The 24,249-nt window shown below is 37.5% G+C and overlaps 1 long non-coding RNA gene across 1 annotated transcript in view; it reads left to right on the top strand.

The window, feature by feature from the left end:
* Positions 1 to 23,336, top strand: part of SMILR (smooth muscle induced lncRNA, enhancer of proliferation) — a 154,318-nt gene extending 130,982 nt beyond the window's left edge. The window contains exons 3-4 of the long non-coding RNA NR_131202.1: positions 20,641 to 20,838; positions 23,129 to 23,336. This is a non-coding gene — a long non-coding RNA (smooth muscle induced lncRNA, enhancer of proliferation). The remainder of the gene's footprint in view (positions 1 to 20,640; positions 20,839 to 23,128) is intronic.
* Positions 23,337 to 24,249: the final 913 nt, after the last annotated feature.

Raw genomic sequence — 24,249 nt, 5'->3', positions numbered from 1 at the left:
TCCTGAGATCAGGAGTTTGAGACCAGTCTGGCCATTATGGTGAAACCCTGTCTCTACTAAAAACATAAAAGTTAGCCACGTGTGGTGGTGTGCACCTGTAATCTCAGCTACTAGGGAGGCTGAGGCAGGAGAATCACTTGAACCCAGAAGGTGGAGGTTGCAGTGAGCCGGGATTGCGCCATTGCACTCCAGCCTGGGCGACAGAGCAAGACTTTGTCTCAAAAAAAAAAAAAAAAATAAGATGTTGATGAGCGAAAGTCACCCATACTTATTTACTGGTCTAAAGGTTGCTGCTGTTCTGCCATCATTCCTTCCTGCTCTCAACTCCTCATCCTCAGGCTTTCCATGGCTATTTGATTATGGAGGTGGGGGAGGGGAGAGAGTTATGATTACAAGGATAGGATTTAATTTTGCAGTAGAAACTATTCTGTATTGTTTACCTATTTCCCAGGCATGTTCTGAGGATTTTTACTGATGAGATAGTTGAGAGTGTTATACAAAAAATCCAAATGTGCATTGTTTAAAATATTGCCTTCTTAGCCTTTCATTGCCTTTGGTAAAGCACAGATGTTTTACCATGCTTGTTTTTGTATTAAAATATAGATAAGATTCTACTTTCAATGACAATAAGTGACTCTCATTACAATTATTTCTTTTATTCTGTACACATGTGCATTTTATACCTATTAAGGTGAATATCATGGAGCCTCTTAAACATTCCTAACTTATGTGCTGTGCATTAATTATTTTTTAGAGTACATATTTGTTGAAAGTGCTGGTGAATTCACTTGCTCTGAATTTCTTCCAAACATATTAAATCACCTTGTAGTATGATTAATCAGAGTTGATTTTTTTAAGAACTCATATCATATTTTGATTTAACTTAGCATTTTTTTCTTCTTGGTTCCCTCCGCCCAATTCTTTTAATGAGAAACCAGATTCCTAGAAAAAACATTCCTTGGCACAGATGCCAATTCTCTGAAACTGGTGGATTGCAATGCCGCTGTGTTGAATCTCCCAGTGGGATGGGGTATCTGCAGTCAGGTTGTTTTCAAAAGGTTGACATTGGGGTTCTGGCTATGACACTACGGTTCCATTCAGTCTTTTATTATTCCTGCTCTGTAACCTGACTTTGGTCCAGGAAGAGGAAATCCTTAGGCTTAATCGAAGACAATCAGCGTAAGGTCAGGAGGGTAATGCTAAACAGACTGGAGGTAAAGGTAGCATGGAAATAAGGAAGAAGGTAAGACCAGAGTGGATTCGAAGATTAGACTCAAAGATGTTAGCCAAATGCACCTGGAAGGCAAAATATGAACCCTAAAATATACAGAGCCCTGGGGAGATATAAAAATAAATCAAGCTTATTTGGTTTATTGCCTTTCCATTTCCCTGGTGGCTTGTCCAGCTGTTACCCCAGTTTGAGCAGGCAGCTCATATGCCTGATTTTTAGGTGTTTATCATGGGGTGCCTTGCTAGAACAGCTGCTGGTAAAAGGACCCTCAATTCCTTCATTATGCATCAGCTCCCAAACTTCACAATTCCTAATATTAAACTACTTTGATTGGAGATTATAGTGTTTCATTTAAATTTTAAATGGCATGTTGCAATGTGCTTTTAGGTAATTTGTAATGTGCCTTTGGGCGTAACACTATTTTAATGTTGGTGTCTAAATTACACAGGAGAGTGGGAATGCTTTAGATGAAAAGGAGTAACCAGCTTCACGTAGGATCTTCTTTCAGACAGCTGTGTCACCCCTTGCACTCCTGTACATAACTGATAAAATACTATAGCAAAGTTACCGAATGTTCAAAGTGGATTCTCCTTTGCAAAGGCCATTGAGAGTTGGCTGTAAGTTTTCCCTGAAAGGTGGTTGTTAATACCATATTACACATGAGGAAACCAAAGGCATTTACATAAGACTCATAAATTCGGAAGTACCAACACAGTGGTCAAAAGCCAGGCTGTAGGACAGACTGCCTGTATTAGAAAACTGCCTCCATCACTATCTGTGTTACGCTAAGCAACTTACTTATCTGTTTTGTGTCTCAGTGTTCATATACGGAAATAGGAATAATAGTTTCTACTTCATATAGTAATGGAGAATGATGAGTTAATATTTTTCAAGCATTTAGAACAATGCCTGATACATAAGGATGATCAGAGTATTCCAATAGATCCATGGTCTCTTATCTGAAACCCTAAGGGACAGATATGTTTTTGAATTCAGAATTTTTCAGATTTTAGAAAAGTAATATGAAGCAAATACTATTTTACATAACAGCTACAGCAGGGTCAGGGGCACCCCATAATCAAACACTTTGGCAGTTTGCAACCCAATAGATGAATGATCGTGGTAAGTGAGAAAAAAAAAAAGAAGATATAAATAGGCTTACATAAATTCAGGCCAGATTTAGTCACTAAGTAATTACAAAAACCTTTCAATTTCCAGAGGCTTTTCATATTTTGAAATTGTGAATAAGGGATTGTGGATCTGAATTAATATTGAGTGGTAGATAAATTATTTGGAATCCAGAAATTTCCAAGCTCCAGGTTAGAATTTTGAGCCAAAATTCTTCCTTTTATAGTTTTGCAAACTGAAAACAGAGAATTTAAGTGGTTTCCTCACAGTCACACAGGTGCTCATGCCAAATAAGGGACCAGATCCTTGGCTTTCTGCTGTGGAGCACAGTGTTCTGCACTAAACACAAATTTTTTTTAAAAAAGTACACCCCTAAATGTTCATTCCATGGAATAATGCTTGATGAAATGTTTTAGAAAAAAGAAAAAAGAATTCTGATATTCTTTTTTTGAAATCTGTTTCCCCTCCCCCACCACCCTGAGGCTTTACTCTACTAATGAGCTTCGTGAATCTATGCAAGGGAGATACGTTGCACACCTCTCTTCAATGTATTTTACTGTACATTCCTTATTTTGAGAACTTCTCACAGAGCACAATGGGACATTCTGTTTCATTTTATTTGAAACAAGAGTTTTAATGATCATTGCACTGTGTGAATACAGGCAGGGTGGTGATTCCCATCATTAGAAGCAACACAAGATACCGTTCTCTCTCTTAGACTGCATTTCTTTCCAAGGAGAGCTGCAGGCTCATCAAGCTTTATGAACTCCATGCTTCTAGATGAGGTTAGCTTGCTTGAGAAGGCACTGCAATCCACAGTTAAGGCATCCAGGAATCTCCATGTAGCAATTTTCAAAAATGTAAAGTCCCGACTATTTATGGATGACATTTCTACAAACGACATTTTTTTTTTTCAAAGAATGTGGTTCATGGGTAAACAAAAAAGAAGTGAACCCATTCAAAACTGACTTCATCCAGTATCCCATCCAATGACTCTAGTAAAGATGCACAGTTTCCTTATGTGGCAGGATTTCAGTTTCATCACTCTCACCACAAGGTGGTAAGGGGGTTGATGCTTACAACATCTGTGGGTAAATCCATGGGTTTGAAATGAAATGAACCTCCTGGTATGTATGCCCTCAAGTCTTCCAAAGAAAACATGGTTTCTTTTAATCTTAAGATATTCCAGAAATGTTGCTCAAGCCCTTAGAGATGAGTTGTTCTTCCTGAAATAATACCAGTTCTTTTTGACATGCAATGAGGGTGTACACTACGTGCTTAAAGCATTTTGTTCTACTAAGGTTCTGTTGGGAAAACTTTGGGTTAGGAATTGGCTGTTATGTTCCAACTTTAATAATGCCCTGTATTTCTCTGAAATCTCTAGTTCCCTAAATATTTACTGTTTATGTTTCTTTTATAAGCAACTGACTTTTCTTCTAAGTTTGTGATATCTGTTATTAAATAAAATATTGACTACTTTGGAAAGAAGGATTGGGTGGACAGACTTTACCTGTGTTACCAGAAGCATAGTCAGTTGTATTAAAATGGACTCCTGAAAGAAGTAGTGCTTACTTGGCTATACATTAGAATCATTCAGAAATCTTTCAAAGTATCTGATGCCCTGGGTAACCCTGAGTAATTCTATCAGCATCTCTAGGGACAGGATCCTGGTATCAGCTCTTTTTAAAGTGTCTGGGTGATTATGTGTGGACACAGTTGAAAAACACTACCTTGGTCCAAATGGTTCATTTGTCCCATCTGATTCTAATACCTTTCATTAACTCTGTCTCAGGGGTTCTAATCTAGTAGCCCATGAGCTGAATCCTCTTTTGTTTGACCAGCACAGAAAAGGTTAAATATGATTGAATTAGAAAGACCCTAGACAAGCTCTGCACTGCACAGTGGCAGTATCAACAATCTGTTGTGTTATATCCAGCCACTTCTCACATTGAGGATACCTGTCTGGCTCCTACAGGTATTTGATTTTGTGAGTCCTGAAATATCTGAAGGAGTTCTTTAGTTGAAAACGATATGAAAACAATAACAAGATTAACTGAAAATGACTAAACATGCTTTAAAGATGAAAATATTTATTGTTTATGGAACCATAGATTATCATTGTCTCCCCATGGCAGAGTTCCCTTCAGAGCAAAGAGCTGTTCCTGGGGTGTTGGGTAAATTGACACCCAAGATTTGGAGACAAGTCTTGGGTGTCAGTTTACTTGTCACCTCCACTGACATGTGGTCATTGGCAGTAGAATCAGACTGAAACTGAGACCTTCCCTGAGAGGAGTCAATAAGCCCTAACATGGCATCCCAGGGAGACACTAAGAGGAAAATAGTAGGATGAGTAATAAGGTTAGCAGTTGAGAGGGTTGAAAGCCAGATTGAGTTCAGATTCAGGAAGTTTCCAAGAGAAGCACTTTGAATCAGGGTGATGAGGGTGGAGTCTTCTGTCTCTCTCTACCTGGAGGTGCCCTGTGATAGTGGCAGGTGTTACAGACTCACCTGGCCTCTCGTCAGGGCTGCCCTTCCATCCCATTTCAGGTATTGCATGTCAGTACACACCACACCAGAGTCAGTAACCTCAAGCATTTCAAAGGTATATTACTCATGCAAACATAGGTAAGATGAGGGGAGTCCTTGGGCAAGGGGATCAGCCAGCATGAGGCACTTTGCTGTCTGGGATAAGAGAGAGGGTCTGGACAGGAGCCTTCTGATGGGATTTTTGAATAATGCCTGGGGCAGACTAACTTCCAGTGGCCTGTCCCCATGTGGGGGTAGACGAAAGGCGCAGGCAGGTTGCTTTGCGTGTGTCTTAGGGGGATCGCATAAGTGAGTCAGGTAAGATATACAGAGAAGAAATAATTAGAGACCTTTCAATCTATTAATACAACCCATTTAATTGAACAGTCATGGCATTATACATAAACACTGTGATCCCTGGGCAGAGAGACACAATAAACACACAAATAAATATACATTATATCAAGTGGTAAAGATGGGATTCAAATAGCATGTTATTCACATAGAGCAGTCAAGGAAGGGCTCTCTGATAAGATGACTTTTGACAGGAGCCCAAATGAGGTGAGAATGAGCTTAAAACTATCTGGGAGATGAGGCAGAGTGTGCCAGGCAGGAAATATTAAGTATAAAGGCTAAGGGTAGCGAGCTGGCTGAAGGGAGGGTGAGGAGGCCAGGGAGATTGGAGTGGAGGAAGCCAGGGCAGGCCAGGGAAGACTGAGGTCAGAGAGGTCATTCCTATGGGTCTATAATGCTATTGTAGGGAGTTCAGATAGTTTTTCGTCTTGTTTTTATTTAGCATGAGAAGGAAGTCATGGGAAGGTTTTGAGCAGTGGAGAAGAACAATCTGATTTACCACATACAAAGGAGTAACAATTTGTGGTATATATACACTTATTGCAAAAGGAGTTGTGGAAGGGAGGAACGAATTTGGATCAGAACCATGAGACAAGGCTGTAAGAAGAAGGGAGATCAATTCATTCTGCTTCTCTTCCTGCATAGACCCTATAAAGAAATACCAATGTTGGAAAATTGTCATGTGTTAATTTACCAAAGATGGGGTTTGTAGCCTGAAAAATAAAGAAGAAAAATTAAGCACTCCACATAAAAACATTTACTGGGGAAGAGGAAAGATGGACAAACTTGAAGCGCTTCCAGAATGGGCACAGTCATTTCGATAGAATGATTGTCCTTGGCAGTTGCAATCAACTGTGTAAATCTGGTTTGGATCAGTCTGAAGTGCATCTCTTGTAAAATCTTGAATTTACTTTCAATAGGCTGTATGTGTGTCTTATTGTAACCCTTGAATGAAAGATAGCTATGGTAAAGATAGCCATGTAAGGGCCTGTGGAAGTCCTTATGGTCATCCCACAGTATCCACAGGGGATTGATTCCAGGATGCCCCCCATGCCAAATTTTATGGGTACTTAAGTCCCTTATATAAAATGGCATAGTATTTGCATAAAACCTATGTGCATCCTCCCATATACTTTAAATCATCTGGAGATTACTTATAATATCTAATACAATACTATGTAAATAGTCATTATACTGTGTTTTTAAAAATTAGTATTACTTTTTATTGTTCTATTATTTTTTTCCCCAAACATTTTCAATCCACGGTTGGTTGAAACTGCCATTGCAGAAGCTTGGATATGGAGGGCCAACTGTATTTATTTTCGGCTGAAGCCCTTTGCTGGGAGCATTGGTCATACGTCTAGTTTGGGTCCCCTTCCTTTTCATTTCCTTAGTCTATATCTATAACTCCATTTCTTAGGTTGCTCCATTCGTGTCCATAATGAGATTTATGCAAGACTTTTGTTTTGGAGCTGACGATACGTTAATTACAGAGTTTTCTTTCTCTTCAACTGTAGTCACTTAAAAGCTCAATCTTTCCAAATTTCTACCTTATCTAAGTTCTGCCATATACTTGTACTTGCCTAATTATTTGCATCTGAATTGCTACTGCACAAACCCATGCACAGTGAATGCCTTGGGTGTACAACTCTCAGGGCTGCAGAGGTCTCAGTGAAATGCCCTGTGCCCATGAATGCCTTCTACAGTTTTTGCTACTTCTATGGGATAATTTTTGTTTTAAAAGACACTTTTCAACTTTTATTTTAGATTCAAGGGTATATGGGCAGATTTGTTACCTGTTATATTGTGTGATGCTGAGGTTTGGGGTATGAATGATCCAGTCACTGAGGTACTGAGCATAGTACCCAATAGTTAGTTTTTCTACCCTTGCCTCTCTCCATCCTTCCTCTAGTAGTCCCTAGTATATATTGTTTTTATGTCCACGAGTATCAAATGTTTAGCTCCCATGTTTTCACTTATAAGTGAGAATATTTGGTATTTGGTTTTCTGTTTGCCTAGGATAACAGTCCCCAGCTGCATCCATGTTCCTGCAGAGGACATGATTTCATTCCTTTTTACAGCTGCATAGTATTCCATGGTGTATGTGTACTGCATTTTCTTTATCCAATCTGTCATTGATGGGCATTTATGTTGATTCCATGTCTTTGCTATTGTGAGTAGTGTGGAAATAAACATATGCATGCATGTGTCTTTTTGATAGGATGATTTATTTTCTTTTGGATATATACTTAGTAATGGGATTGCTGGGTCGAATGGTAGTCCTAAGGTTTTTGAGAAATCTCCAAACTGCTTTCTACAGTGGCTGAACTAATTTACATTCCCATCATCAGTGGTTAAGCATTCCCTTTTCTCTTCAATTTCACCAGCATCTGTTGTTTTTTGTCTTTACAGTAGTAGCCATTCTGACTGGTGTGAGAATGGCTATATCCTTATGAATTCTGGATATTAGACCTTTGTCAAATGCATAGTTTGTGAACATTTTCTCCCTTCTGTAGGTTGTCTGTTTACTCTGTTGATAATTTCTTTTCCTATGCAGAAGCTCCATAGTTTAATTAGGCCCCTTTGGCAATTTTTGTTTTTGTCTCAATTGATATTGAGGACTTAGTCATACATTCTTTTCCAAGGCTGATGTCCAGAACGTTGTTTCCTAGGATTTCTTCCAGGATTCTTGTAGTTTGAGGTCTTACATTTAAATATTTAATCCATCTTGAGCTTATTTTTGTTTATGGTGAAAAGAAGGGGTCCAGTTTCATTCTTCTGCATGTGGCTGTCCAGTTATCCCAGCAGAATTTATTGAATAGGAAGTCCTTTCTCTATTGCTTATTTTGTTGAAGATCAGATGGCAGTAGGTGTGTGGCTTTATTTCTAGTTTCTTTATTCTATTCTGTTACATTGATCTATGTGTCTGATTTTGTACCATGTTGTTTTGATTACCGTAGCCTTGTAGTGTAGTTTGAAGTTGGGTAATGTGATACTGCTAGCTTTGCTTTTTGCTTAGACTTGATTTGGCTATTTGGGCTCTTTTATGGTTCCATATGAATTTCAGGATAATTTTTTTCTAGTTCTGCAAAAAATGACATTGGTAGATCTATAGTAATACCATTGAATCTGTAAATCACTTTGGGTAGCATGGCCATGTTAACAATATTGATCCTTCCAATCCAAAAATGTCATGGAATGTTTTTCTGTTTATTTGTGTCATCTATGATTTCTTTCTGCAATGTTTTGTAGTTCTGCTTGTAGAGATCTTTCACCTCCTTGCTTTCATATACTTCTAGGTATTTTTTTTTTTGGTGTGTGTTGCTATTGTAAATGGGATTGTATTCTTGATTTAGCTCTCAGCTTGAACATTATTGGTGTATAGAAATGCTGCTAATTTTTAGACACTAATTTTGTATCCTGGAACTTTACTGAAGTCATTTATCAGTTCCAGGAGCCTTTTGGTTGAGTCTTAAGGGTTTTCTAGGTATAGAATTATATAATCAGTGAAGAGACATTGTTTTACTTCTTCTTTTCCTATTTGGATATTTTTTATTTCTCTTTCTTGCCTGATTTCTCTGGCTAGGAGTTCCAAAAATCACTTTTTATAATGTGGAAATAATTTATTTTTGTAGATGTCTCAAATACTTCTTGGTTCAAAATGCTTTCATCTTTATTTCTAAAAAATCTCTCCCAATTAAATATCCCTTCTGCCTAGCTTCCAAGTTGGCAGTAAAGCTCCCTCTTTGTGGCTTTACAACTTTATCTTTCAATACTTCCATGGTATGAATCATGTTCATCTGTGAGGTATGATGAGCTCCTCATTGCTGTGGATTTTAGCTAAAACTAAAATTCACAGCAATGCCACTCTTGCTGCAAACATTGGGATCAGCCGTGACTATCCCATAACATAATATTTCTGATTTCATTCTTTTCCTTTCTCCTACCAATTTAATCTGCAATCACTTCAAGAGAAGTCTGTTTAAAGGATATTCACATTCTGGTAAGGTTCTTTTTGAACTTTTATATGAAATGTAATATGTTGTGTATCTAACACATTGTCTTGCATGGAATATACATTCCAGAAACATCTTTCAATTCTCATGAATTTCTCCCATGCTACTTCTCTTTTTCTCCTACAGCCTTAAGTCAGAGCTGCTTTTCATATCAGGTCTGTTGCATTAAACCCTTGATTGGTTTTCTGTCTTGCCTTCTCTGGGTCTTACCTTTCCATCAGGACATAAGCTCTTAGAAAGCAGATACTTTCTCTTATTTCAATTTTTTCAATGTCACACACAATGCCAAGCATATAGTAGGTTCTTACTGAGTTTTTATTTTATTTTATTTTTTATTTAAGAAATGGTGCTTGCTCTGATTTAGAAGTACTCTAAATCAGAATTTTCCAAAGTAAGGAAAATTCTGTGAGGTTCTTTCTCCAATATTCTCTGCTTAAAACAAACAAGTTTCATGAGCAAATAATTAGGGGAACTATTACAAACTGCACTTCTATCTTGGATATTTGTAGTGGGCTTTAGATATCAAAAGCTATAGAAAACAAACCTGCTTAACTTTGTTAACTCTTATTTCCCAAACATATTTGACTATAGATTTTATTTTTAAAAACAGCATATATTGCTGTCTTTTGGAATTATTAATAGTATTTTCTGTGCCACAGTTTAGGAAATGTTATTCTAAATTTTTTATTTACAAAAGAGCTAGGGAATGAATATTGTCACTTATTGAGTCAATTCACTTATTAATTAAACTAAGTAATTCAGGGTTCTCTTTAGCTCTCGCCCTCCAGTTTCTAGCTAATAAAGTATGCATACAAAGGACTTGCAGCAATAGTGGTCAAAGTGTTATTTTAATTAATGGCTAGGCAGTGCCAAAATACTTCCAAATTTATGACTGTGTTAAGCTCTGTTGAAGAATGTGGATGATAGTATAGGATATCCTATTCTTTTTCCTTACTGAATTGCAGAAAACCAGGCCCATGAGTGTCACAGATATAGACACCATAGTCCTGTGCTTTTACTACCTGGATTCTGGAAGTATTATCACCTCTGGACTTCCTAAAGATCTAAGGAGTCATGCAGAACCAAAGACAGGGGTTGGGAGTTGCTTTGCACTTGAGTTAGAGAAACTTTGCTCACCAGTGTCAAGGTGGTTAGACTCTCAGAAATCACATTGATTGCTCCTGTTACACTGAAGAGATGGAAAAATAGATAGAGAAACCAAAAAGTTTATCTGAGTATACTTTCATTTGTAACAAAATACAGCATAAGAAAGTAAAGGTTTCCTTCTTTCAATACTTTCCAACAATTTGTATTTTTAGCCATTTGGGCTGAGTAGCTGTCCACTTGGGGAAAGGGCCTGCACTGAATCATTGCAATTGCAGTCTTATTTTTATTGGGGTTGTTTACCTCATATATACCTTTGGTCTTCTATGGCCATTGGAAAGTTTAGCTTTTGCCCCCAAGAAGGTACTAAAATGCATTATACAGAATATTAATTAGATTTGGCCTCTTTACATAATCCCATATTTCTCGGAGGCTTTGTTCATTTATTACTGTTTTTTTTTTAAATTTTTGTCAGATTAAGTTATTTTGGAGAGTCAGTCTTTAAGCTCTGAGACCCTTTCCTTAGCTTGGTTGATTCTGCAGTTGACACTTGTGATTGTATTTTGAAATTCTTGAAGTAAGTTTTTCAGCTCTGTTTGATCAGTTTGGTTCTTTCTTAAAATGGCCTCTTTGCCTTTCATCTACTGTATAATTTTATTGTATTTCTTAGAATCTTTAGATTGGGTTTCAACTGTCTCCTGAATCTCAGTTATATTCCTTCCTTTCACATTCTGAATTCTATTTCTTTTATTTCAATCATTTCAGCCTGATTAAGAACCATTGCTGGGGACCTAGTGTGGTTGTTTGCAGGTAAGAAGGTACTTTGGAGTTACCATAACCTCTGAAGATTGAACCAGGAAGAAATTGAATCCCCGAACAGACCAATAATGAGCTCCCAAATTGAATCAGTAATAAAAAGCCTACCAAAAAGAAAAAGCCTGGAACCTGATGAATTCAGCTAAATTCTGCCAGACGTATAGAGAAGAGCTGATACCACTCCTACTGAAACTATTCCAAAAAAAAAAAAAAAAAAAAATGGGGAGGAAAGACTCCCTCCTAACTCATTCTATGAGACTGGTATCATCCTGATACCAAAAACTTGGCATAAACACAACAAAAAATGTACCTTCAAGCCAATATCCTCGATGAACATAGACACAAATGAACAATGAGAACACATGGACACAGGAAGGGGAACATCACACTCTGGGGACTGTTGTGGGGTGGGGGGAGGGGGGAGGGGTAGCATTAGGAGATATACCTAATGCTAAATGACGAGTTAATGGGTGCAGCACACCAGCATGGCACATGTATACATATGTAAGTAACCTGCACATTGTGCACATGTACCCTAAAACTTAAAGTATAATAATAATACTAATAAAATTCTCAACAAAATACTAGCAAACTGAATCCAGCAGCATTATCAAAATGCTAATCCACCATGATAAAGTAGGCTTTATCTCCAGGATGCAAGATTGGTTCGACATATGCAAATCAACAAATGTGATTCATCACATAGACAGTACTAAAAACAAAAACCATATGATCATCTTAATGGATGCAGAAAAGGCTTTCGATAAAATTCAACATTCCTTCGTATTAAAAACCCTGAACAAACTAGGCAATGAAGGATCATACCTTAAAATAATAAGAGCCATCTATGACAAACCCACAGCCAACATTGTACTGAATGGGAAACAGCTGGAAGTATTCCTCTTGAAAACCAGAGCAAGACAAGGATGTTCTCTCTTACCACTTCTATTCAACAACTACTGGAAGTTCTAGACAGAGCAATCAAGAAAAATGAAGAAAGAAAAGCCATCAAAATAGGAAGAGGGAAGTCAAACTATCTGTTTGCAGATTACATGATCCTATATATAGAACACCCCCATAGTATTGGCCCAAAAGCTCCTTGTTCTGATAAATAACTTCAGCAAAGTCTCATGAGACAAAATCAAGGTACAAAAATCAGTAGAATTCCTATACACCAATGACATCCAAGCTTAGAACCAAATCAAGAATACAATATCATTTACAACTGCCACATAAAGAATAAAAAACCTAAGAATACATCTAACCAGAGAGGTGAAACAGCACTACAACAACAATTACAAAACACTGATGAAAGAAATCAGAGATGACACAAACAAATGGAAAAACATTTCATGCTCATGGATGGGAAGAATCAATGTTGTTAAAATGGCCATACTGCCCAAAGCAATTTACTGATTCAATGCTATTGCTACCAAACTACCAACGACATTCTTCACAGAATTAGAAAAAAAATACTTAAAAATTTATGTAGAACCAAATAAAAGCTCACATAGCCAAGGCAACCCTAAGCAAAAACAACAAAGCTGGAGGCATCACATTACTCAACTTCACACAATGCTACAGGGCTTCAGTAACCCAAACAGCAAGGTACTGGTACAAAAACAGATACATAGACCAATGGAACAGAATAGAAAGCTCAGATCGCACATCTACAATCATATAATCTTCAACTAATTTGACAAAAACAAGCATTGGGTAAAGGACTCCATATTCAATAAATAGTGCTGGGATAAGTGGCTAGCCATATGCAGACGATTGAAACTGGACCCCTTCCTTATACTATATACAAAAATAAACCCAAGATGAATGAAAGACTTACATGTAAAACCTAGAACTATAGAAACCCTGGAAGATAACCTAGGAAATACCATTCTGGACACAGGACTTGGCAAAGATTTTATGACAAAGATGTGAAAAGCAATTGCAACAAAAACAAAAATTGATAAATGGGAACTAATTAAACTGAAAAGTTTCTGCAGAGCAAAAGAAACTAGATATTTTCTCCCATTCTGTAGCTTGTCTGTTTACTCAACAGAGTAAATATAGAGTAAACAGACAAGTAACAGAATGGGAGAAAATATTTGCAAACTATGCATCTGACAAAGGTTAAATATCCAGAATCTATAAGAAACTTAAGCAAACTAACAAGCAAGAAACAAACAACCCCATTCAAAAGTGGGTAAAGGACATGAACAGGCACTTTTCAAATGAAGACATACATGCAGACAACAAGCATATGCAAAAATGCTCAACATGACTAATTATTAGAGAAATGCAAATCAAAACCACAATAACATATCATCTCACACCAGTCAGAATGGCTATTATTAAAAAGTCAAAAAATAACAGACGCTGGAGAGGTTGCAGAGAAAGGTGAATGCTTACACACTGCTGGTGGGAATGTAAAAATTAGTTCAGCCACTGTGGAAAAGAGTTTGGTGATTTCTCAGAGAACTCAAAGCAGAATTACCATTCGACCTAGCAGTCCTGTTATTGGGTATGTACCTAAAGGCATATAAGTTGTTCTACCATAAAGACTCATGAGTGCCTAGGTTCACCGCAGCACTATTCACAATAGCAAAGACATGGAATCAACCTAAATGCACATCAATGGTAGAGCGCATAAAGAAAATATGGTACATATGCACCATGGAATACTATACAGTCATAAAAACGAATGAGATCATATTATTTGCAGCAACATGGATGGAGCTGGAGGCATTATCCTAAGCAAACTAACACTGGAAAAGAAAACCAAATACCACATATTCTCACTTATAAGTGGGAGCTAAATCATGAGAACTCATAGACACAAAGGAGAACAACAGACACTGGAGCCTACTTGAGAGCAGAGAGAGGGAGTAGGGTGAGGATCAAAAAACTACCTATTTGGTACCATGCTTATTACATAGGTGGCAAAATAATCTGAACACTAAACCCCTGTGACATTCAACTTACCTATACAATGAACCTGCATATATACCCCTAAATCTAAAATAAAAGAACAAAAAGAATGTTAATTAAACTAACTTTAGGCTCACCCTGTACCTCATAGAAAAAAAAATTCCCTATTTACTCTTCCATTTAACATATACCTAGTCATGTTGTCTGGTGTAGCTTACTATAAAATACTGTACAAGTATATCGTGCATGTGCAAAAGATGGCATAAAAATCCCCCCATATAATTCACTCTTAACAATATAAAAGTGTCATGGTGAACAAGATAAATGATGTTCTAATTATTGTCTTCCCAGAAAGAAATAGAAATGAAATATCCTGAAAACATCCAGAAAAGTTAAGATCAAATATTTTTCCTCTTTAATTGCATATTCTACTCAGTCTACACTCAGAGGGAATAATGATTCTCAAAACTGGTAGGATTTCAGAATATTTTCTGAGGTATATTTACTAGTAATCAGGCTCGCTTGCCCTCAATGATTCTAACATCTTGCCTTCATTCTTTCTGTCTCTTTGATTAGAAGGATAGGAATTTCTTCAGATTATTGTACCCTTCAGCCAAGTAGGAGATAGAAGGTTTGCTACCATGAAGACAGTTTACGTTCAGACAGAATGTGGAGGGTTCATCTTGACTAAACCAAAAGGACCTGCGTTGTATCCTTTTCAATTACTTCTGCTCAATAAACTGCTCAATAAGCTCCTTCATTCAATAAACATACATTGAGTTTCTATCGTGAATTAACTATGTGATAAAGAGCAGGGATTTGCTATCTGCCCCTGTGGTGCTTAGAGTAAGTGGATTTTGCAGAATACACAAACAATGATTATTTGCAGCTGTGGGTGATACACTATCAGAGAGGCATAGAGAAATTGGGTGTGTCAAAAGAGGAACAAGCATAATGATTATGACTCTGCCAATCATATCAAATGGATAACAGTGGGAAGAACCAGGTATATTGCATCTGAAGGTTAAGTAGGCATCTGCCCTTCAATGTCACTATGTGAAGAAAACATAAGCCCATTATGAGTGGTCCTAGGGGACAAAACTAATCACAGTGGGGAGAAGTAACAAGGAGGCAGTTTAACAAAGGGAGAAGCTAAGTTGTGCAGGCACAGAGTGGACTGTCCTACTGATTGTGGAACTTCCAGTCTTCAGAAGTGCTCAAACAGTTGCTGCTTAAATTTTTGACAATGCTATAGAAAAGATGCTGAATAAATAAGGAGATTGAGCTAAATAACATCAAGGTTCTTCAAGCTCTTAAGATTTAACATCTATAGATGTTAAGGGCCTGAAGAGCACATCTTAACACCTGTTATGATCTGTGTCAGTTCAGATCCTCTGGGAAATAGACACCAATGTAGAGTTAGAAACACCTGTGAAGGATAAAGGAGAGAAGCAGCCAGAGTTGTTGGAGAGAGCCTCTGACTGTTAGGCAGGTCTGACTCCTGTGAGGGGAGAGAGGAAAGGAAGGGAGATTGAGTAGAAAGATTCTCATGCTACAAGGTGCCTTTGAGAAAGTCTCAGCCAGGCTGATTGCAAGCTCCAGAGAAAAGATCACCTGCTAGAGGAGTCCCACATTGGGTGGGAATGGCTTGGCTATGGTACCCCTGCTGTACTTGGTCACTGGTTGGGAGCAGCTCAATGACAGCATGTCCTCAGCATGAACACCACAGTGGATCACAGAGCACAGTAGTTAGACACTGTCCACTCACTCCAGTCCTCACACCAGGTTCTCTCTTGAAGGAGGAGCTGAAAAGCACACTCCTATGACTGTCACATGATCTCTAGTGCCCAGCAGAGCATCTTACATATGGCAGATATCTAGTAAAGGCTTGGTATGAATGAAGGCATTAATGTATTTGCGTTTTAATGTCTTAGCCAAAGAGCTGCTCAGTAGTGAATTTTAATTATTGTATAATGAGTCTCATTATCTGGAGCTGAATTCAGTTAGGCACATTGTGGACCCCAAGGAAGCCTGGTGCTCTGTGTTCTACCCTGGGTCCTGAAATGAACAGGGTGAGGAGGAATAGGAGGAGTTGCTCACCACGAAACTGTCTGACCTACCCTGAAGTTCACATATATTAAGAGCAAGGACCAAGAAGGAACAAGCTGTAGGAAGACATCCCAGTCCTATAAGGGGATGTAGTCCTGGATAGTTTGTTTTCACTCCCAGCTATGTTTCACTCTGCCATTCCATTTCTGGATATATCTAATTAAAAAACTTGTGTCTCTTTTTTCCCTGGATATTGACTTCTTTGGTCTTGCCTTTGGGGCTCCTCCCTTTCCTTCCCCCCTCTGTCCTCCCTGCCCCCAATCCACCCTTTATTTAAAGCTTCAAGTAACTATCTTCCTGATCAAGTCTGAAACTGTCTCCAGTACAGACCTACTTGGCTGGGGTCCAACCATTTTTAATGAGAAAATAGACATATGTCCACTGTTTCTGTGATTGAATGGATGTTTTTATGAAATCCATTGCAAATCAGTTTTTAGCCCAACCAAGCTCTGGTAGACTTTGTTTTTTATGTTGACTTTATTCTCCTTTCTTCTCCATCATAAAATGTTGGTTTGATTTCAGGTCTCATGCCTGAGGAGAAGCCAACCCTTGCCCAGCTTTATAGGTGAATCTGAGTGATCTTAGGATAATCTCATCTTCTGTTTCCAATGATTGGTTCAGGAATACAGGGCCAAGCCAATTATCACATGACATTCCTTGGGTTGCCTGAATGCATTCCTTGGGATGCATTTAGGATGGACCCATAACCCCATTCAAGCCAGTGAGTCTTATAAGAAAGGTAGCTGGAGCTTTCAAGAAGTTTATTTGCTTTTAAAGGAGGAATTAAAGGAAGAAATGATCTTCCTTTACATGGATGTTGTCAGAATGTGAGGTCTGGAACAGCTGAGGACATTTTATCAGCTTGACAATAAAGACTACACACAGAAGTTGGCAGGGCCTTTGTGTTAAGTTTGCAAAACAAGTCATCTAACTTTGGGACTTCCAGTTCTGTGAGCTAATGCTTTTTCAGGATGTTTATGCCAGTTTGAATTGGATTTTCTGTTACTTAAAGGTCAAAGACCTTTTTACTTATGTACAGCTTAATATTATTAAATCACAAATAGAAGGCTGTGGTCCCTTGAAGTCCTAGAAAAAAATATGTGTATATCCCACTGTCTCTCTCAAGCACACACACACACATGCACACACACACACATACACACACACACGTACACACAAGTGTGTGTATATATGTATGTATCTCTATCATCTATCTATCTATCTATCTATCTATCTATCTATCTATCTATCTATCTACCTACCTACCTATCTATCTATCGTCTATCTATCATCTCCCTGTCTATCTATCTAGATACATTCTAAGATTGGGAAGAGCATCAAGGAGAAGCGTACAAACTTGGGGCCTAAGGAAATGTAGAAATACCTGGAACTTAGAAGAAGGGACATTTGTTATCTTTAGCACCAACAAGTGATTGGGTAAATGATAATGAATGAATTTCCAGAATTCTATCACTATATGTTTAATAAGTCATAAAAAATGGCAGAAAAAGTATTTTCATTGAAAAACCATCTTTGTTCTGGTGAGGAGCTATCTTTTCTACTAGGAAGATCATCTAGTTACAGCTTTGCTTACTTCGTTCTGCTTCCAAGGAAGCCTTTCAATCATTTCAACCCCTGCCCTGGCTGCGGCTGACATGGAAAAAATTGAAAATGGGACAATATCTTGCAGAAAATAATTAGCAAAGGTTAAGAATACCATGGTGCTGTACAGAAGCTGCTGTTGATAAGGCATATAACAGTCAGTGCTGATCATCTAGTGACAGGAAACTGGGCAGAGAGGTGATGGTGAACTCTAATATTAGGTTGGTGCAAAAGCAATTGTGCAATTACTTTGATAGTTCAGCTTTGAAAATGGCACGGCTTCTTCTGTCCCTGTTGTATTGACTCATATAGAGCTGCTCTTTTAAAAACACCAGTGGGGGACTGTGTGGATACAGTCATGTATACATAAAAATTTAAAGGAGAAACTTAATATTCATTTTTTATTGTGGAAGGGATCCCTAAGAAGCAATTTCCCTATGATAACTCCTGCTTTTATATTGCTGAGGAAAATGGGCAGTGGTCACTCTTTGAAAAACGACTGTGTAAAGGAATCCTCATCTTCTTTTTCTGATTGTGCTTTATAGCTTACACAAGTTTAGAGTATCATGTCACAAAGCAATGTATGTAACCAACTTTAGGGGTTGAAATCAACTAGAAGAAATTGGGGAAGAAAACAGCTATGAGCAGTAATAGAGCTCAGGATAAGCCTAAGTTCCATTGCTGCTGCAATATCCTCCAGTACTAGATTTTTCATCTCTATTTGGCAAAAGAATTGGTAGCTGCAGGTTATTGCTATGGATATCAATCATGATATATATGTATATAATCTAATGTACCTGAAAATGTTTTGCAACATTATATATAAAACTAGGAAATTTTAATTATTGCTTGAACATGTAATTACTGAGTACATTTTGAAGAATGACTACATCCAGAGGGTTACTAGGTGCCAGAGATATAAAACACTACAAGACAAATTTCTACCTTCTACTGTCTAATAATCTGGTTAGGAGTATTACATAATAGCATTTGTAAAATAATGAGTAAGCAAGGGAAGGGAAATAACAGAGCTTGGGGAAACAGATTAAAACAATATAATAAATATGATTTGATTGTAGTGGTTTTAAAAATTCCACAGTTAGTTTCTATGCTCTATTTGTTATGCTATAAAATGTGTTTATAATAAAGGAATTTTGTGGTAGATGGTCTACAAATATGGTTGTCATCAGTCTCTTCTCTATCTGTGTGTATGTTCTGCTTCTTACCTTAAGAGGTGGGACCTAGTTTCTCCCTTTGAATCTGGGCTTGTTTTTCTTTTTACCTGACAAAGTCTTGCTCCAACCTCAAACTCCTGGGGTCAAATGATCCTCCTGCCTCAGCCTCCAGAGTAGCTAGGACTATAGGTGTGTGTCACTATGCTTGGCTATTTTGTTTAAATTTATTTTTTGTAGGGACAGGGTCTTCCTATGTTGCCCAGGCTTGTCTGGAAATCCTGGACTCAAGCAATCCTCCCACCTTGGCCTCCTAGTGTTGGGATTACAGGTGTGAGCCACTGTTCCAGGCCTGTGCTGGTTTTAGTGACTTTGTTGAGCAATCAAGTGAGAAGGAATTAATACTTGGATTTCTAGGGTCCAAAGTCATAAGCATCCTTGCAGCTTCTGCCCAACTGAGGCCATTCAACTGACAGAACCATGAGAGATAGTCAAATATTTTTAAGTTACTAAGTTATGAGACATTTATTATGTATCAATTGTTAGCCACAACAGAAGCTATACTGAAAACCGGATACTGCTGTAACAGAAATCTAAGTCATATTGGCATTAGCTTTGGAGCCAGGTGGCTGGAAGAAGCTTGGAGAGCCTTGAGGAGCCCATAAGTGAAGGTTTTAAGACAGCAAAGAACTTGTTATTAGAAAATTGAGAAGAAAGGACTGTGTTATGGTGTGGCAGAAAGTGTCACAACACTGTCCTCGAAAGTAACATGGAAAATATAAACATACCTAATGAACTGGTGAATTTTGTTAAGGTGATTTTCAGGCAGACTATTCAAGGCATTGCTGGTTGCTTTCAGGCACCTATGATAAGGTAAAGCTAGAGAGAAATGGACTAACAAAAGGAACTGTTTAGTTTTCAAGTAGAATTTAGGGGAAGTGTAAATGAACCATGGCTTTATGGTTTTTAAAATACAACCATTTCTATTCCCAGCCTTTTCACAGAGTAAAAGGTTCTTAAAATAAGAGATGACTTGAAAGCAAAGATTAACTTAAGGGCATAGTTGCAAGATCTTTTACTGAGACTTCAGAAAGTTTTAAGGACATGCCTTAGAGACCCTCTTCAATTAGATACATCATAAAGGGTATTGACCCTCAACAACCTAGTTCTCAACCCAGGTCAGAGAGGGTAAAGTTTCAAAGAGATTTGTGGGTATAACTTTTGTCTGTTGAAATAAATTACAGGATTCATAGGAGATCCACGCACTTTGTAAGAGAACCATATTGTTGAAGTTCTATCAGATTGAACTTAAAAGGACAATGACAATTCAAAATGAAAAGAGCTCTCAGGACTCCAAACTTTTCTTGGATAAGAAGAAAGCTGTAAAACCTATTCAACTGAAAACACAAGCTATTTGTTTAAAAAAAAGGAAGGATGACAGAGTAAAAAGTCAAGAATCACAAAGTCCCAGGCAGCAGGACTGCATCATCATCAAAGAAATGGTGATATATGCCTAGCTGGACTTCAGAATTACTAGGAAGCAGTGACTTCTATGTGCTTTCAGCTCCCCTCCCACCACTGAATTTGAATGCATGTGTTTATTGTATTTATCTTATCACCATTAGATAGATATGTAGGAAATAATTTGTGTCTTTAGTTCACAGAGTTTGAGAGAAACTGTATTCAAGTTGCTGAAACCAAGAAGCTACACTCACGAGTCTCACCTAAACTCGAATCTGATTTAGATGACATCATCCTGGACTTTGAGTTGATGAAACCTTGGAGGTCTTGGGAGTAAAGCAAGTGTGATTTGCATATGATGGATATGAATTGTAATGGCCAGAGCATGGCTGTGGTAGGTAACATCTAGAGATGGCCACCATTATTTTTTTTTTCCTCTATCCGCACATACTACTTCTCCTGTACTCTTGAAACTGGGATGAAATTAGCAACTTTGTTAACCAATATAATGTGCCACAGAAGTGACTTTTGCGACTTGTGAGGTTAGATCTTAAGAAGTCTTGTATCTTCTTTCTGGATCACTTGGAATGCTTACTACGGGAACCAAGCCACTGTTCTATGAGAAGTGCAAGTCACATGGAGAAACCATGTTTTGGCAAGCTAGTCTGCATCTTCAGGTGAGCTGCCAGCCAATAACCAGCCTTAATTTCCAGTTAAGTGAATGGCTGGATGTCTAACTCAGTTAAGACTTCTGATTATTGCAGCCTCAGGTTACCCCTGACTGCAACTGCACAAGTGGTCCAGATGAGATCAATCTCACAACTATGGGAGACAATAATGCTATTTTGTGTTAATCACTAAGTATTAGTTTGTTACACAAAACAGATATTAAGATTAAGATATTTATGTCTCCAGATAATAGACCCAGGAGCTTCCTTATGTCTATTCCCCTTTAAAGTCCTTTTTTTTTTTTAAACTCACAGCTGGAATAATTATGCCAGAGCAAGGCAACTTGGGTAGCAGCATTTGGCTTCTGATGATTCTTTCCTTAGTGGATGCAGGATGCTGTCATCTTAGGAACTTGAAAAAGAAAGCATACTGTTTCTTGAACTTTAATTAGTCATGCTAATTGTAATAAAATTTTTGCTGGAATAAAAAAAGGGCAGCGTGTCTGAAGTAAGCAAAAAAAAAAAAAAAAAAAAACCCATGTATGCACAGTAGTTGTAGTGATCTGCCCCAGTTAGTTGTAACCATTAAATAACTGCTAGGAAAAATACATGGCCTTGGAAAGTGTTTCCTTGGCAGTAGTGGAAGGGCAGGAACAGATTTGTATAAACACATTTTTGTTACAAGCTAGAGGCAACTTTAGAGTTTGATGGATAAGAATGACATTAGATAAAGCATATTGTATTGTACTGGGAATAGCTCATTAACAAGCAGTTAACTTTGTGCGTGTTTACACTCATATTTGTCATGTTCACTGCTGTATCCTCAGCAGCTAAAACAGTAACTGGCACTTTAGAGAGACACAATAATTATACGACGAATTAATAAATTCCATTTGTTTTGTTTAACGAAGTCTTTTGATTTAATATTCAGCTGTACTTAGATCTATGGGTCTGAAATAACTCAAATTTTCTTTGAAAATAAATACATTTCTTCTGGTGTAAATGTAGTACTCTTAATGGTCTATATGTGAATTATTGAGTTCAATTTTAGAAATTGACTCTTGTTTTCCTTCAATATGCTTCTAGTACCTGTTCTTTACCTCTTTCATCCCCGAGACTAATGATGAATTTTTGTTTGTTCAGGTAACAGAAACACAGTTTCTTAATATTAATAACAGATTTCCAGTATGTATTATGTGTCAGCCACTGTACTTAGCTCAACTAAGCCCCGTGATAACTTTTGATGTATTATTATCCTACTGGTAGAGATGAGGAAAAAACTATAGAGGAGTGAGTCTTTGCTTGAGATTATAGTGATTTTTAAGAGATGGCACCAAAATAAGAGTCCAGAACAAGTGGCAAAACCCAAGGGGCACTTATTTCCTATTGCCTGATTTTTAAAGTTGCTAGGGTCTAACTATGAATCTTTGTATTGGATAACTATTTTGGGGGTTAGGGGAGTGATAATTATTTATGGTTCTGACTGTTCCTTTTGTGTTTGGAACAAATTAATAAAAAGATACAAGAGTCACAGAGATAGAGATTTAGAAATGTTAGCTCTATAATTGGTAAAAGTGAATTGTAGAATGCTCCTTGGATTCACCAAGAAGATGGAGCCTTCCATTGTTACCTCCTTAATTCTAGACATAGAGTTAACCCAGTAGAAGGAGTTGAGTTCTGCAGAGAAGACAAGCAGAAACAGCACCTTAAATTTAGTACAGAAACTCCAATATTGTAATCACAGAAATAAAATGCTCAGCAGATGAGCCCTAACCCATGAGTTCTTACATTCCAGTGTAAAGTCCAGAACCAAATTCATTAGTTTCATGAATAGGTAGATTTCACAACAGAAGGGAAAAGGCTGCTGAGCTAGACATGTTCATATTTGTCTGCCAGGCTCACCAATCAGGTTTTAAGTTGGCCCTCTTCCCTTGGGTAGGAGAGAGCAAGGTATTATATATGTGAACAGAAGCTTTTTGTCTATTACATTTTCAGAGATGAAAACTCCCATTTTAGGGAACCAAGACTGAATTCCATAATTTACATGGATGTTTGGAAGGTGTCTGCAACTTAATCTGTGTTCGTTTCTGAGATGTTGGGCAACTCCTTCTTGGAAGATGTGGTAATGGTCTCTTCGAAAAGAAAATAATCATCTGAGTTTTGGCCAAAATAGTTGATCGGATTACCTATGAAAATGACTCTCACCCAACTACAAGAATGTTATGATGTAGAAACTCTAAATATATGAGTAATTAACTATACAACACTCCATCCCCATGTGAAAATCTTTAATCTTTTAAGATACTGAAATTTTGTGTATGTCTCATAATTTTCTGTATATGGTCAATGAGTTTTGCCTTAGCCATAAGTGGTCTGTCTGAAATCTTCTCTATTATTTGTGCATTTTCTTCCTGATGTACCAAGCCTAGTCTGTTTGTTTTTTCCTAAGAGAAAAGCAGATGATTCAACTGTGTATTTCTCAGTGTTGATATTGTGGTTTGAGGTATTTCATAATCTTGAGTAAAATCTTGTCAATTTTATGCTATGCCTTGTGGGAACATATTTTTACTTTTAAGTCTCTTTGGCAAGTGGAGCTTCCTTTGTGTTTCCTCACCAAATGTATTCCCCATTGTTTTCTGATTAATTCTTTTTCAGAATGTTTACTCCTTCTTACCTCAATGTCATTACTTTTCAGTCTTGGCTTTGGGTAAACCTAGGACAAGAATTGGATATCCAAAGCCAATTTCAATATAAAAACTATAATATCTATCAAAATCTATGTAAAATCCTGTGTATATTTCTCTTCTTTGTTGAACAGGGGCTTATAATCATGTAGGTAAATACACGTGGTTTTGATTTCAGCACTGATTACTGAAGATTTGTCTTCCATTCTTCTGGGCCAGGCCCATACACAACCATAGTTAGAAGTAAAAACTATTTGTTATACCTGGAATGCCTTTCCTTTCAATCTCTGAATGTCTAAAATTACTTTTTCTTTGAAGACCACCTCAGGTGACCCTACTGTGGGGAAAATGCCTGAATTATCTTTGTAATCCCAGCTCAGCCACTTAAAGATTGTGTAAGTTTAGTGTCAGCATATTACTTAAGTTCTTTTAGATTTAGTTTCCTCATATGTA

The sequence above is a fragment of the Homo sapiens genome, chromosome 8 (assembly GCF_000001405.40).
Source record: "Homo sapiens chromosome 8, GRCh38.p14 Primary Assembly".
NCBI lineage: Eukaryota > Metazoa > Chordata > Mammalia > Primates > Hominidae > Homo > Homo sapiens.
The sequence above is the reverse complement of the archived record's forward strand: the minus strand, read 5'-3'. Positions and strand labels throughout refer to the sequence as shown.